Source organism: Homo sapiens, chromosome 14, assembly GCF_000001405.40.
Source record: "Homo sapiens chromosome 14, GRCh38.p14 Primary Assembly".
Classification (NCBI taxonomy): domain Eukaryota; kingdom Metazoa; phylum Chordata; class Mammalia; order Primates; family Hominidae; genus Homo; species Homo sapiens.
This window is the reverse complement of record NC_000014.9, coordinates 39,172,725-39,188,436: the sequence shown is the minus strand read 5'-3', so window position 1 is coordinate 39,188,436 and position 15,712 is coordinate 39,172,725. Positions and strand designations below refer to the sequence as shown.

At 42.2% G+C, this 15,712-nt stretch overlaps 1 protein-coding gene and 1 long non-coding RNA gene across 2 annotated transcripts, besides 5 other annotated features; one reads left to right on the top strand and one right to left on the bottom strand.

Moving 5' to 3' along the window:
- Positions 1-5,216: 5,216 nt before the first annotated feature.
- PNN (pinin, desmosome associated protein) lies at positions 5,217-13,183 on the bottom strand. The gene is made up of 9 exons (NM_002687.4): positions 13,045-13,183; positions 12,288-12,359; positions 11,842-11,910; positions 10,953-11,025; positions 10,750-10,844; positions 10,521-10,596; positions 9,191-9,346; positions 8,975-9,113; positions 5,217-7,934 (listed from the first exon to the last, which is right to left on the bottom strand). The coding sequence occupies exons 1-9, from the start codon at positions 13,155-13,157 to the stop codon at positions 6,574-6,576; spliced, it is 2,154 nt and encodes a 717-aa protein (NP_002678.3). The 5' UTR covers positions 13,158-13,183; the 3' UTR covers positions 5,217-6,573.
- Positions 10,614-11,114: an enhancer, noted in NCBI's record as "H3K4me1 hESC enhancer chr14:39646527-39647027 (GRCh37/hg19 assembly coordinates)". NCBI's record gives its function as "activates a minimal SCP1, AML or CMV promoter by ChIP-STARR-seq in naive H9 embryonic stem cells {active_cell/tissue: H9 hESC(naive)}" and the evidence as "EXISTENCE:reporter gene assay evidence [ECO:0000049][PMID:30033119]".
- Positions 12,294-13,493: an enhancer, noted in NCBI's record as "MED14-independent group 3 enhancer chr14:39644148-39645347 (GRCh37/hg19 assembly coordinates)". NCBI's record gives its function as "activates an origin of replication core promoter dependent on BRD2, BRD4, P300/CBP and CDK7 cofactors, and independent of MED14, by STARR-seq in HCT116 cells {active_cell/tissue: HCT116}" and the evidence as "EXISTENCE:reporter gene assay evidence [ECO:0000049][PMID:35650434]".
- Positions 12,557-13,562, top strand: PNN-AS1 (PNN antisense RNA 1). The gene is made up of 2 exons (NR_186208.1): positions 12,557-12,658; positions 13,125-13,562. It is a non-coding gene; the product is annotated as a PNN antisense RNA 1 (long non-coding RNA).
- Positions 12,966-13,175: an enhancer, noted in NCBI's record as "active region_8288". NCBI's record gives its function as "activates an Ori minimal core promoter by ATAC-STARR-seq in GM12878 lymphoblastoid cells {active_cell/tissue: GM12878}" and the evidence as "EXISTENCE:reporter gene assay evidence [ECO:0000049][PMID:35858748]".
- Positions 13,336-13,455: a silencer, noted in NCBI's record as "silent region_5687". NCBI's record gives its function as "represses an Ori minimal core promoter by ATAC-STARR-seq in GM12878 lymphoblastoid cells {active_cell/tissue: GM12878}" and the evidence as "EXISTENCE:reporter gene assay evidence [ECO:0000049][PMID:35858748]".
- Positions 13,656-13,795: an enhancer, noted in NCBI's record as "active region_8287". NCBI's record gives its function as "activates an Ori minimal core promoter by ATAC-STARR-seq in GM12878 lymphoblastoid cells {active_cell/tissue: GM12878}" and the evidence as "EXISTENCE:reporter gene assay evidence [ECO:0000049][PMID:35858748]".

The window sequence follows — 15,712 nt, the reverse complement described above, 5'->3', positions numbered from 1 at the left end:
TCATCTCACTGCCACCCTCACCCTCCTCAGACTTTTAAAGGAAAATGTATAAATACTAAACCTCCCGAGAACCTCTTTGGAAAAAAATAGGCACAGATACATCCGTGAAACAAGTTTTTACAAGTTTTTTTTTCCACCGGGCATGCCCACAAGCTAGCTCAATAAACCTCGATGACTAAGACTTAGGTCTCAGTCACTTATTTTGGTTGTCGATATTTATCCAAGTTGGGTTCAAGACCATAGGCTTGTTGTGTTTCTCCTGTTGTAGCAAATCCTCAGCCATTTTCATTGACTATTACCTCTCTGAATTACTTTACCATTTTCCTCCCTTGCATACACTGCTCCAGCCACAAGGGCTCTTTACTGTTTATTGAAAGGACCAGTCTTGTTATTCCTTTGCTTGGAATTCTCTTCCCTCATATCCAAATGGCTTGCGTCTTTACCTATCTGATCTCTAAACATCACCTCAGCGAGGCATTGTGACCATCCTACCAAAAACTGCAAAGCCATCCCACTTCAGAACTCCTAATCTTCCTTCCCTACTTCCTCTCTGTAACATTTATCACTCTCATTTGGCCCTTTTCTGTCCCTCCTGCAAATGTAGGCTCTATGCAGGCAGAAACTTTTGTTTTGTTCACTGTTGCAACTCAGTAATGAGAACAGTACCTAGAATACAACATATGCTCAAGAGCTATTAAATAGCTTTTCTTTATTCTTCCAGGTCACTTCACCTGCAAAGCCTTCCCTGGTGACCCAATTATCACATCATTTGCATGAAAATAGCATTTTGTAGGTTTTTTTTTTTTTTTTTTTTTTTTGAGACGGAGTCTCACTCTGTTGCCCAGACTAGAGTGTGGTGACACAATCTCGGCTCACTGCAACCTCCACCTCCCAGGTTCAAGTGATTCTCCTGCCTTAGCCTCCCAAGTAGCTGGGACTACAGGCATATGCCACCACACCAGGCTAATTTTTCTATTTTTGTAGAGACAGGGTTTTGCCATGTTGGCCAGGCTAGTCTCAAACTCCTGACCTCAGGTGATCTGCCTGCCTCGGCCTCCCAAAGCACTGGGATTACAGGCGTGAGCCATCACACCAAGCCTAGCATAGCCTAGCATTTTGCATTTCTAACACAAAGGTCAGCAGCCTTGAACATACTGCTCTGTGGGTATGTACCTATAAACAGAAGCACATACACAGGGCTGTGAGAACAAAGGCCCAACAGGCATTAACAGAAAACTTAAATTTGAAGGGTGCATTTATTTTGTGGCCCATTCCCCACTCACCCCTATTTCACTCTGGAGCACCAGGGGATACTGAATTCCACAATAAAAGATCATTCCTTATAGTTAACGTGCTGGCTGTCAAAAAGCAAATTTTTGGAAAGGTCAGGATTGTTTGATGTAGAGTCCAGAACATCACAAATGGCAGGTCTTAATACAGAAAACTAGACGAAAGGATTGTGATTTGAGGGAGGGGTATCTGGATGAAAAAGAAGTCTGAGAGTATGAAAGGCAACTAAATTCACATAAATAAGAAATTAGAAGAGAAACAAAAGCCCTTTTTAATCTTCATTATATAATCTCAGTTCCTAGATAACTTTGTTCTTCATCCATCAAAAGAGATATATAACATATTTAAAGAGGTAACACTAGTTCACTAAGACAACAAAGATTCTTAAAGGGTTGGGCTGTATCTGAAATCTCCAAAAAGGCTGAGTAATTTGACAAAGAGCCCCAAATAATTTTGATTCCTCCATACTCCTTTTCAGATCTACTATGTACAAGGAGCACTCTGGTCACCCTTTAGCTGCACAGCACACAAAATATTTACAAAAAATGTCACAGAAACTGTTGTTTCCATTATTTGGAAGAAAACGAGGACAAATTTCAGGATGTGACTTGGCTCATTGTTTCAAACATATTTGGATGTGCTGAAAGAGAGGAAAGAAAGTGGGAAAGAGAGACCAAGCCACTTAACACCAAGGATTTTTTTTTTTTTTGATGGAGTCTCGCTCTGTCCCCCAGGCTGGAGTGCAGTGGTGCCATCTCGGCTCACTGCAAGCTCCGCCTCCCGGGTTCATGCCATTCTCCTGCCTCAGCCTCCCGAGTAGCTGGGACTACAGGTGCCCACCACCACGCCTGGCTAAATTTTTTATATTTTCAGTAGAGACGGGGTTTTCACCATGTTAACCAGGATGGTCTTGATCTCCTGACCTCATGATCAGGGGCCCGCCTCAGCCTCCCAAAGTGCTGGGATTACAGGCATGAGCCACCGTGCCCGGCCAACACCAAAGATTTTGGGACAGTCATGGCAAGGAGTGGCAGCTATTACAAATTTGAATAGGGTAGTCAACTGGCCATGGAAAGTGGAGTTGCAGGCATTTGAGTATCATCATTTTTTTTAGTATAATTATTTAAGTTCCTTTTTTGAAAAGATTGGCTGGACATGGTAGCTCACACCTGTAATCTTAGCACTTAGGATGGCCAAAATGGGAGGATCGCTTAAGCTCAGGAATTCGAGACCAGCCTGGGCAACAGGGCAAGACTCTCATCTCTATTTAAAAAAAGAAAAAAAAAAAAAAGTCCTGCTAGCTGAGACAAAGACAGGCGTAAGAAAAACATTCTCAGATACCTCGTTTATTTTTACCAAGTTGTAGTCTCTACCCCACTGGCTTACTAGAGTAGTGGTATTGAATCAAATACATAGCTACATTTTCTGGGCTATGTGATTTAATAACATTCATTTTAACCTCAAAAAGGGAAAATGGGTTGGATTTGTCGTTGGATTTCAGAAGATATTTTAAAGTTTGACTAGTCATAAAAAAATTCTTACACAATATTAGCCATAAAAGAAATTCTTGTTTATGTACTTTAAACCCACATCTTGACTGACTCTAATAGCATTGGCCCATGTAATCACTACTCTCTTTCCTTTTGAATTTATGTCAATACATTATTGGTATGGTGGCTTTTGCTTTGCCCAAATTACCTGAGTAATCATGTAAATTGTTATCATTCTACAGATAGTGTGTAGAAGGACCCTAGATTGGAAATACAGCTCATTGAAGTTCAAACTATCTTTATTTTGGTGGTTACCCAAACCTTGGTATCTTAAAAGATGTTTCCTTAATAGCCCCTTAGACATCTCTGCCAATTTTTTTTTTAGACAGTCTGTCACCAGTATGGAGTGCAGTGGTGCCATCAAAGCTCACTATAACCTCAAACTCCTGGGTTCAAGCAATCCTCCCACCTCAGCCCCCGAAGTAACTAGAACTACAGGTACACACATGGCTAAATTTTTCTATTTTTTGTAGAGATAGATTCTTGCTGATGCCCAGGTCAGTCTTGAACTCCTGGCTTCAAGCCATCCATCCTCTACCCTCAGCCTCCCAAATTGCTGGGATTACAGGTGTGAGCCATAGCACCCAGCCTGTCTTTCCTAATACAGCTCTAAACTGATTTCAGTCCTAACTCACCATCTCTATCCCCTTTCAGCTCCTAAGTTTTCCATAAACACTATTTGGGTTTTTTTGTTATTTTTTAGACAGGGTCTCACTCTGTCACCCAGGCTGGAGTGCAGTAGTGTGATCATAGCTACTTCACCTCAACCTCCTGGGCTCAAGCAATCCTCCTGTCTCAGCCTCCAGAGTAGCTGGGACTCAGGCTCATGCCACCACAATCGGCTAGTTTTTCTCTTCGTAGACAGTTTTTTGCCATGTTGCCGAGGTTGGTCTCTGGCTCCTGGGCTCAAGCAATCTTTCCACCTCAGCCTCCCAAAGTGTTGGGAATTACAGGCCACTGCACTCAACCATAAACACTAATTTGTAATCTCCAGTAGGAAGACTACTGCGTGTTAGCCGGGCGCCGTGGCTCATGCCTGTAATCCCAGCACTTTGGGAGGCCAAGGCAGGCGGATCACGATGTCAGGAGTTCGAGACCAGTCTGGCCAACACAGTGAAACCCCCAACTCTACTAAAAATACAAAAAAAAAAAAAAAAAAAAAAATTAGCCAGGTGTGGTGGTGTGCGCCTGTAATCCCAGCTACTTGGAAGGCTGAGGCAGAATTGCATGAAGCTGGGAGGCGGAGGTTGCAGTGAGCCGAGATCGCACCACTGCACTCCAGCCTGGGTGACAGAACGAGACTCCATCTCAAAAAAAAAAAAAAAAAAAAAGACTACTGCATGTCTTTTCCCCCTGGGAAACTGTCATTACTTTTACATTCTTCTTCCTTGTGTCTCTTCAAGTGCAATTCCATGGTTCTCTGAACATTAAGTTCCATAAAATTTTAGTTCAAGGATAAAGCACTGATCGGAAACAAAAAAATCTAAAATACTATATTTAAAAAATTAAACCTTCCAACCTAAAAATGAATACCACTTAAAAATGTTAGTACAATCTGTTATTAAAATTCCTGTGCTCACTTCAGCAGCACATACTAAAATTGGAACACAGACCAAGAGTGGTGGCTCACGCCTGTAATCCCAGCACTTTCAGAGGCCAAGGCAGGAGTAACGCTTGAGCCCAGGAGTTCGAGACCAGCCTGGGCAACATAGTGAGATCCTGTCTCTACAAAAAATAAAAAATTAACTGGGAATGGTGGTGCACACCTGTAGTCCCAGGTACTTGGTAGGCTGAGGTGGGAGGATCCCTTGAACCCAGGAGGTCGAGGCTGCAGTCAGATTGTTTGTGCCACTGCACTCCAGCCTGGGTGACAGACTAAGACCCTGTCTCCGAGAAAAAAAAAAAAAAAAAAAAAGATTAAAATGGCCCCTGCACAAGGATGACATGCAAATTCATCAAGCATTCCATATAAGAAAAATTCCTTTCACATACTATGATCAGTAGCGCTTAACTGAAATTACTGAAAATTACTTTCCCCTCAAGCATTCATTATACCCCCATTACTACCCCTCCTATAGTAGAGCTTCAAGCCAATACTAGCCTTTTCTGTAAGCAACATGAATATTGTTCAGATTTTCCAGGTACAAATCAGTAGACAAAACTTAATTTGTATAAAGGATTTTAGTGCATACAAACTGTCATCAAATAAGGTGCTTTTTAACCAGGTTAAATTTTATGATCATCCCTTTAATTCACTATTTACCAACCTCTTTCCTGCCAGGGCACACAGGAAATGAAACATTTTGCTGGATAAGCCACAGATGAAGGTACTAGTGGTGGAACTGGCTCATGGATACAGATTGCTGTGCAAAGCTCTATGCATTTACTGTTTTAATAATTACTCCAATAAAAGGATTTTTAAAAAGAGATCTTTTAACACATCCACTTACACAAGTGAGTTATATACACACAAAAACTAACTGGAAATACTTCTTCACATTTTCACTGTAACCATTTACTTGTCAAGGGAAGGCAAAATGAATATTCAAAGTCAAGGCTAAAGCTACAGTGTTAAACTCAAAGAAGGATGCAATTTAAGTGCTCTCTTGTATAAAGCATCAGAAAGTTAATACAAGTACTAGTCTTAAGCAGTCACACAAGTCTAAGCCACATTTATTTGCACATGTATAGTAATGGCCAACAGATACTCCAAGTTCATACAAATTTGTAAAACAACAAAGTTAATAATCACTTGGTACACTTGTGTGTTATCTTGCTTACATATTAAAACCTAGATGAACTTCCTTCATTTTGTGGACTTCCATACAATACTTCCTTAAACAAAATTCTTGAAAACACATATCAGCATGTTTAAGTTAGAGCCAACACAAAGTTAAGACAAGACACAAACTCAAAAACCAAGTTTGAAAGATACTTTTCTACCTCCCTCCCCTAGAAAGAAGTGATTTTCTTTAACAGATGTATGTTATATCACACAAGTAACCATGAAGACAAAAGAATGACGCTCCCATCATCAGGAAGAAAATGCCAACCAGATCATACTGTTTAGTTATCTACCGAACATATGGTTAAAATATGAGAAACGGGGGAAAATGCTTAGATTAAAATAACAAGGGAGAATAGAAAATAGCAAATGATTTTAAAGAGAACTGTTCCCCCTCAAAGCTGCAAAGCTCTGACTCTGACAACTAAAAACTGTCCAAGGCAAATAAAAACGAGGAAACCTTCAAAAACATTCTAATCACGTGCAGTATCTAGTGTTAAAAGCTGAAAATGATAAAGAGGATATTTATTATACAAGTGTCAACGAGGACATCCCAAAAATAATGAAATAAACACACATTTATTTCTACAAAAGCAATGTATGATACAGAATTAGAAGGGAACAGACTTAAAGATTTGCCTATTAAAATATACAGATTCTTACTGAAGAGTATAGGATATTTAAAAAAGATGACAAGGGATGTTAATCTTTTTTTATTATTATCATTTTTACATATTTTGGAACCTCACATAATTTTGATAAATAACTCTTACAAAATTATGCAAAAAGTACAAGAATGTCTGGTAAACAAACAGTCTGTATTTTCCAAAAAGATTTTTTACAACATGCAATTCTTAAGGCAGCATCCTCTTTACAAGGAAAGGTAATCCTTTTTTATCAAGAAATCTTCTGCTGCAAAGAATGGCTAAGAAAGCCTGGCTTCTTCCATTAACGCCTTTTGTCTTTCCTGTCTGATTTTCGGTCTCTTTCACTTCTTGAAGATCTTTTGCCTGATCGACTACTCTCTGATATAGACCTCTTTCTGTCGGACCGGGAATTCTTATCCTTTGATCCTTTTGTATCTCTACTACTACCACCTTTTGAAGATTTGTGACTTCTTTCTAGTCCTGAAGTATCCCTTCTCTTCCGATCCACGCTCCTTCTGTGCTTTCTATCTCTATTATGTCCCCGGCCCCTACTCCGACTTCTACTCTCACTACTACTACTAGTGCTACTGCTACTATCTCTGCTGCTGCTGCCACTTGTACTGGAGCTGCTACTGGAACTACTGCGACTGCTACTACTTCCACTGCTGGAACTACTTCCACTGCTGCTACTGGTTGAACTGCTACTAGAACTGCTACTGCTACTGCTTCGACTTCTACTCTTGCTTGTTTTATTTCTAGCTCGACCTCTACTTCTGCTCCTAGTTTTGGTTTTGCTCTTGCTCTCTGGATGTACTGTCAAGACTGGCTCTACTGGTACCTCAGTGAGTTTTACAGACTCTACAGGAAAATCCTTCCTCTCAGGTAGTAAATGCCCTTGCTCCTGAGTAACTTGGGGTGTTGGCTGTAAAACAGCTAATGACAAATCCTCAGGCTGAGAGGGAGGCTGGGACTGGAGTACTGGTTGGGACTGGGATTGAAGCTGAAGCTGGGGCTGAGACTGAGGCTGAGGTTGAGCCACAGGCTCAGGTTGGGGCTCAGATTCTTTTTCTTCTTTTTCCTCAGACTCCTTTTCCATGTCTAAAGCACTGACATTCTCTTTCCCAGGAGAAAGGGTTTTACATTCTTTATCTGGCTCAATTTCAAATTCCATTTCTGGTTCCAATTCTTTGCTAGCTTCATTTTCTGAAGGTTCTACACTTTCAACTCGATTAGTTTCCATTACCTCCTGGTCAGCAATTACATGTTTGACATTCTCAACCATCTCTAGCACATCCATAACTTCTTCAGGCTGACTATCCTGCTGCTTCTCACTTTCCCTTACCTCAGTTTCCTCCTCCATCTTAACCTCCATTTCCTGTTTTTGTTCTTCCTCCTCCTGTTCTTTCTCTGCATCACTATGAACAATCGCTATTTCCTTTTCCTCTTCCTCTCCTGCTTCCTCTATTTCTACATCATTGTGCTGATTACCTGTCTCCTCCAACTCTTCCTCTCGCTGAGCCACCTTACCCTCTTCTTGTTCCGCCTTCTGTTCTTCATTACGCACCACCTGATGCTCTTTTTCCTTCATTGATTGTCTTCTAGGCCTAGCCTCCATTTTATTTATTTGTTCTGCAAATTCGATGCGTCTACCTTCAAATAAAGCTAAAGAATAAAAATTTACATGTGTAAAATTTACCGATTAAGAAAATTCAAAGCCATAATTTTATAACTGGTCACAAATTGTCATTAAGCTTCATCTGAATTTGTTTTTGTAAAGTTATGACAAAAGATTATGGCAATTAAGTAACCACAAACTGACATAAAATTATAAAAGCAAAGATCCATGGGAAATCTACATACTAGAAATTGTGGCAGACAGAACTACACATTTTCTAACTGATGAAGAAAACAGATCAATCTTTATGTCTGATGAAAAATAAAACTTCTGTAAAACAGAACCAGTTTTGGCATAAAATCATATATATTAATTTTTCTGATCCCAAAGAGATAAATCATCATCTTAGCAGTGTCTATCCTTCCATGTGTTTTCCATCTAGAAACTGAGTTGGTTTTCACATTTGTCTTATTAGCATTTTATCAGAACAATAATAGCATGCAAAAAAAAGTAATTTTACACAAATGCTTAAGGAATACAGATGCATAAGCACTGTCTATAACTTTCACATTAAACTCCATCATGATACAAATATTCCTATACTACAAACTCACCAGCATCTCAGAATGTATCTTTTTTTTTTTTTTTGAGATGGAGTCTAGCTCTGTTGCCCAGGCTGGAGTTCAGTGGCGTAATCTCGGCTCACTGCAACTTCTGCCTCCCAGGTTCAAGTGATTCTCCTGCCTCAGCCTGCCAAGTAGCTGGAATTACAGGTGCCCACCACCATGCCCAGCTAATTTTTTTTGTATTTTTAGTAGAGACTAGAGACGGGGTTTCACCATGTTAGCCGGGATGGTCTCGATCTCCTGACCTCATGATCTGCCTGCCTCAGCCTCCCAAAGTGCTGGGATTACAGGCGTGAGCCACCACGCCCGGCCTAGAATATCTTATTATCTTATTTAAAAAAAAAAAGCAAACACAGCAAACCAATCACTGAATCATAATTATTTTAGAAAACAAACGTGTGCATATGAACATATTACCTTACCCACTATGAACAATTCAATGGACCTCTTCGCATACTTACCGTTCATTTTTCTCTGTGACTCTTCTATTAGTTTTTGGGTAGCTGGACACATTCTTCCAGGAATATAAAACAAATGGGGCTTTGTCTTAGTTCTTATATATTTAATTATTTTGGCATTATGTTCATTCCATTCTTCTTGCTAAAGAAAAGGTAAAGGGTCAGTGCTTTTGTAAACACAAAGGATTACCAATCTTAGAATTCCAAATTACCACTCACCAGCTGCGCAAGCTCAACTTTCTGTTCCAAAAGCCGCAGTTCTGTCTGTTTAGCACGCCTCTCTTCAAACAGTTCTCTCCTTTCATTTTCAACCTGCTTTCTCTCTTCTTCTGCCTGAACTTCAAGTTTTTGTTCAATTTCCTGGCGCCGCTTTTGCTAAAAGTTAAGTAGCCTGCTTTAATACTTACGTGTTGAAATAGTTACAACAAAAGGTATATATGATTTCAGTTCAATTATGATAAAAAGTTATTACACATACTAATTACGTGAAACATTAGAGGCAGGTAGATCATCTGAAGTCAGAAGCCAACACCACCATCTCTACTAAAAACACAAAAAAATTAACAGGGCGTGGTTGCACGCACCTATAATCCCAGCTACTTGGGAGGCCGAAGCAGGAGAAATCACTTGAACCCCAGAGGCGGAGGTTGCAGTGAGCTGAGATCACGCCACTACACTCCAGCCTGAGCAAGAAGAGCCAAACTCCATCTCAAAAAAAATTTTTTTTTTTTTTTTTTTTTTCACTATGTAAAGGTATCTGCAGGCCGGGCACAGTGGCTCACACCTGTCATCCCAGCACTCTGGGAGGCTGAGGTGGGTGGATTGCTTTGAGCTCAGACCAGCCTGGGCAACATGATAAAACCCCATCTCTACAAAAAAAAAGAAAAAGAAAAAAAAAAGGTATCTGCATATGCTTCACATTTTTTCTTTTTTTGAGATGGAGTTTTGCGCCTGTTGCCCAGGCTGGGGTACAATAGTGTGATCTTGGCTCATTGCAACCTCACCTCCAGGGTTCAAGTGATTCTCTTGCCTCCGCCTCCCAAATAGCTGGGGATTACAGGCGCATGCCACCACAGGCGGCTAATTTTGTATTTTTAGTAAAGACAGGGTTTCACCATGTTGGCCAGGCTGGTCTCGAAAAACTTCTGACCTCAGGTGATCCACCTGCCTCAGCCTCCCAAAGTGCTGGGATTACAGGCATGAGCCACTGCACCTGGCCGCTTCACATTTTCAATTCAGGATACCAACTAACTAGAACTTAGCACTTGGTACTGACTGTAATTTGTCTTTAAGGAAATGGAGACTTGAGGCTTTTTTTTTTCACATATCTAAATTTCAAGGCTATTAGCTATGATATCAACAACTGTTATATTCCAACACAATGTTTAAGTAAAGCTGTTCTATAAGAAGTTAAACCAAGTTTTTACTTGGCTTTGTTTCAGGTTTACAGTTAGGTCTTAAAAGAGCTTTAAGGATTTTTTAAAAAAAACATTAATCTACTACTTTGATAACTTAAATATATGATGCAAAACAAAACTTGGATAAATACCCTTTCAGTAGCAACAGTGGATTCTTGTTTAAATTTTTGAAGGGTACCCATCAACAAGCCAAATATTCGCCGGTTCCTAAAGAACAGAATAAGAAAATTTACTGTCAACAGGATCCATTTCATTTAAACCCATCATTTTCTAAGAAATACTACAGGATGCTTGAACAATCCCTTGATTTTCCTTATAACTGCATTATTTCACTAGAGTTTTTTTCCCCCAGGGAAATACCTTTGCTTTCCCTTTTCATCCATATTTTGATCCTGGATAAGGTCTCTACGTGTGCGCTCTTTGGAGGTAGCTACAACTGAAGACTGCAATGCTGGCTGCAGAAAAAGAAAATCTCAGTAATTTAACTAGCATATGAGTGGTGTGCTTTTAAATGTAGTAAAGTGAAGGTACTACATTCATTTAAGTTCTTTCAATCTCAATACCTTTTTAACATCATCATCCTCCGGGTCGCTTTCCTGGCGTGATTCTCTTCTGGTCCGACGCTCCCCGCCCAGCCTGTCATAGAAAATATTAATTTTTTTGAGACAGGGTTTCACTATACCACCCAGGCTGAAGTGCAGTGGTGCCACCACGGTTCACTGCAGCCTCGACCTCCCAGGCTCAAGTGATCCTCCTGCCTCATCCTCCCAAGCAGCTGGGACTACAGGCGTGAGCCAGCATGCCTGGGTAACTTTTTTGTACTTTTTGTAGGGATGGGATTTCACCATGTATCTAGGCTGTTCTCCAACTCCTGGGCTCAAGTGATCTGCTGGTCTTGGCTTCCCAAAGTGCTGGGATTACAGGGATGAGCCACTGTGCCTGGCCAAAAATTAATTTAAATGACCACTGAGGTATTTATGTAACTGCACACCAAGGGCAAATGCCCTCTCTTCTAGGACTCGTTTCCAGAAGCTTTGTTCTATCAAGTCTCCATCCCATTTTATTCTTTCCTCCAGCAGAGAAAGGATACTACAATGTGTGAACTAACGCCCAAACCAATTTTGCTCTCCTGTATTTTCTAAGTATTTCAAACTGGTTAAGTTTTTCAAGTACAAGTCAGAAAAAATGGTACTAATTGACAATTTTTCCAATTTTACTCTTCACATGACCTTTATTTGGATAAAATTTAGGTTATCATGAGTGCAGAACTGCGTTTTGAGGGAACTGATAGTCAACTGTTCAGTCAAATACCAACAGAACTTGGGGGGGGCAGGGAGTGGCATACCACTCAATTTTAATATTGCTGAAACAGAATTATTGTTAATAAACATTTATATTTGTGTGGTACCTCAGAAACTAAAGAAGCCTTCAGGAATCTTTTTTTAAACCTACCTACTGACTGCCCCTTCAAGGTCTCTCTGTTTGGCTGGGGGTCCTCCTCCACTATCTGAGAATCCACGCCTGAAATTTAAAATGTTCAACATAAAACACTTGAAATACAAGATAAATGGTATTTCCATTTGACAAGAGAATATGGTTAAACTTTCAAAAATCTTTCCAACTAAAGTAGCCTTAAACGGGCATTCATTCCAAAATGCTTTTATAGTGTTACTTTATAAGAATTAAGTTCACTCAAAATTGGTAAACTTAATATATTCTTCAACCTCCAGTTTTTCAGGATAACTATATTTATACAGAAATCTAGTCTATTACAACATTAAACAAAACAAAGACGACAAACACTGGGTTATTGATTTTATCACAGGTTTTGTTCAAACCAACATATTTAGTAAAGTACCAGTAGTTTCAGCATGAGTAAAGTCCAAAGGAAATCTTACCTCAGTAATAAACTACCACGTCCTCTACCTCCACCAGGACCAGAAAGGGCCAGCAATCTGGCTTGGATGGGCCTGTAAAAGATTTACAAATCAGTGCAAAATCATATGTAGACACACACAGTCGCACCCAAATACTTTCAGAGATGTGGATCATAAGGAGAAAAAATCACAAAAGTTCCAAAAAGATAGTTTCAAATAAATCTAAATGTCTGAAACAGGACAGGAAGTACTATTTCATTTAACTTCCTCGTTTCTCCAGGACCTGTGTCACAGAAATTATATTCACCTCGATGCCCCCACACATTAACAAGCCTGGATCAGGTCCCCATCCCGCCATCCCCGAGGAGGCTGCACGTGGACAGGAAGCTGGGGTAAGGCGGCTTGTTGCGTCCCGGCAGGGTCTCGGGGCCAGCAACGGGCCGGGTGTCCGCCGGAGCGGGAAGGGGCTTTGTGCTGCAGTTCCGGGCCTGCAGGGCCGAGAGCGGGAATCAGCAGTCCGGGTCTTCTCACAGGCCAAGAAAGCATGCCGGCGCACCCAGGCCTCGCTCTCCTTCCTCAGGGACCTGAGACCAGCGCTCTACGGAGGGGACCTGGGGCCTCTCCACCTCGGCGACAACAGGGTTTTACCCGCCGCCCCGCGAACAGGCCTCGAGGTTCCAGTCTTCTTAAGGCTGGCCGCCCTCCCCGCCCCCAATTCACCCCGACCTGAGGGCTGCCTCTCCGAGCTCCGAGTTCCGAGTTCCCGTTAGGCCCTTACCTCACGTCATTCGGATCCCGCCCGGTGAGCTTGCGAATGTTCTCATCCACGTTCTTAAGACTCTCTTTGGCCTTTTCCAGCTGTTCCTGCAAAGTTCTCACGGCGACCGCCATCTTCTCCCTGCGGCAGGCTTGAGACTGCTTTACAGGCCGAGCCGGGCTATGCCGCGCCGCCGAGGCGCGAAAGGACTGACAGCCGGGCTCAGCCAATGACGATGAGCGTTGTCTTCCGGCCTCAACCACTCAGCGACCGGAAGGGGGAAGAACCTGCAGCCTTTGTGACTCTGAGCCAATGAAAAGTCAGCCAGGCAGTCATCTCCCTCCCCAGTTAGCTGCGGGTGCCTGGATCCCGCTGCTAGCGCAGAGTCGGGGCGGGTTTCACAATCCCTGAGTTCTCGGAGACTTAGGCTCGCGAGTCTGCAGTTCTGGCAAGGGGAGCGCGGAGTTTTCTAGGCCTTTTAACCTATGATGTAATGTGCCTTACACCGTTTTAACGTGATCACATCAGAGTGGGACTTAGCCAAGCCTCCTTTTCTTCCTTACCCTCACCTTGGTTAATGATTTAATTAGGAAAGGGCGCGGCTATTCTGTTGGTGCGCATGCTCAGAGAGGGGGTGGGCGCGTGCTTTCCTCTATTAGGTTAATTTTTTTTTTTTCACACGGAGTCTCGCTCTGTCGTCCAGGCTGGAGTGCAGTGGCACCATCTCGGCTCACTGCAACCTCCTCCTCCCGGGTTCAAGCGATTCTCCTGCCTCAGCCTCCTGAGTACCTGGGACTACAGGCGCGCGCCAACACGCCTGGCTAATTTTTGTATTATTAGAGACCGGATTCCACCATGTTGGGCAGGCTGGTCTCGAACTCCTGACCTCAGGTGATTCGCCTGCCTCGACCTCCCAGGGTGCTGGGATTACAGGCGTGAGCCACCACGCCCAGCCTGATTAGGTTAAAGTGAGAAGAGGGAAGACAAAAATGAAAACTAGTAAAAGTCATTAGTCATAATGGCTAACGTTTGTTAGGGGTTGATCTTGTTCCCGACCCTCTGTGAAACCGTCTACATGCCTTATTTCTCACAAACTGAAAGTGTGGATAAAATGCCTGTTATTACTGATAAGGAAATTGAGACTGGAGATAATATAACTGTCCTTTGGTCACGCCAGTTGAGAATCAGTCTCTGATTAGACGCTGAGCATCTATACTAGAGAAAAGAAAGCAATGGCGAGACAGACACGCAGTCATGGTTGAGTTAGCCTCTTCACCTGGCCTAGAGCTGGTTAAGACCAGACCTAAGGGAGCGGCCCTGTTGTTAGTGGTGTCTGTGTGTGTTGTCCCGCTTCTGGTTCTGCCCTACCTGCACTGCCAATGTAGGAACTAGTTTTGTTCTATAAATATATATACAAATTGAAGCTCAGAAAACATTTTTTCACAGGCCAGGCACAGTGGCTCACGCCCGTAATCCCAGCACTTAGGGAGGCTGAGGCAGGTGGATCACTTGAGGCCAGGAGTTGGAGACCAGCCTGGCCAACATGGGGAAACCCCGCCTTTACTAAAAATACAAAAATTAGCTGGGAGTGGTGGTGTACGCCTGTAATCCCAGCTACTCGGGAGCCCGGGATGCGGAGGTTGCAGTGAGCCGAGATTGCACCACTGCACTCTAGCCTGTGCGACAGAGTGAGACTCCGTCCCAAACAAACAAAAAAACAAAACACTTTCCCACAGAAACAATGCTTTAAATAATCTCAGCCAGGCATCTATCTTCCTTGTACAAAGAATTAGTGGGCCCAGTGTATTAATTAACTCAAGCTACCACTTTAATCCAGCAATCTTTTAGAGCTTCCATTGTGTATCAGCAGTAAGCTAGGGTTTGAAAATAAAGCCTAGAACAAGATAGTTGTGATTCCTGCTTCTGTGGGGTTTGTAGGCTTCCAAAGGAGCAATGATCATTCATTAGTTCAACAAATACTGAGGGCCCACTATGTGCCAGGTGCTATTCTAGGCACTTGGGTATATCAGTGTACAATAAAGATCTCTGAGCAAGTCCAGTGGATTGTGCCTGTAATCCCAGATACTTGGGAGACTGAGGTGGGAGAATCGCTACAGCCCAGGAGTTAAGACCAGCCTGGGCAACATAGCAACGATCCTGTCTCTAAAAATAAAAATTTTAAAAATTGTACTGGAGAGGCTGAGGCGGGATGATTGTTTGAGTCCAGGAGTTTGAGACTGCAGTGAGCTGTCATCACACCACTGCACTCTAGCCTGGGCAGCAGTGAGACTCTGTCTCAAAAATAAATAAATAAATAAATAAATAGTATAGCATGTTAGAAAGCGGGAAGTACTATAGGAGAAAAAAATGTAGAGATGAATAATGGGGATGAAGATTGACAATTATCTAATTCTGATTGTGAGCATACTTAGCCTCATTGATCTTATTACAGGTCTGTGTACAACCTTAGGCAGTACCTGAGGCATGAGAGTGTGATAATAGTAGAGCGTATTCAGCAAGTGTAAGAATGTTTGCATGTATGGTCGGCCCGGTAATCCCAGGATTTTGGGAGGCCTTGGTGGGCGGATCACTTGAGATTGGGAGTTCAAGACCAGCCTGGCCAACATGATGAAACCCTGTCTCTACTAAAAATACAAAATTAGTCCTGCATGGTGGCAAGTGCCTGTAG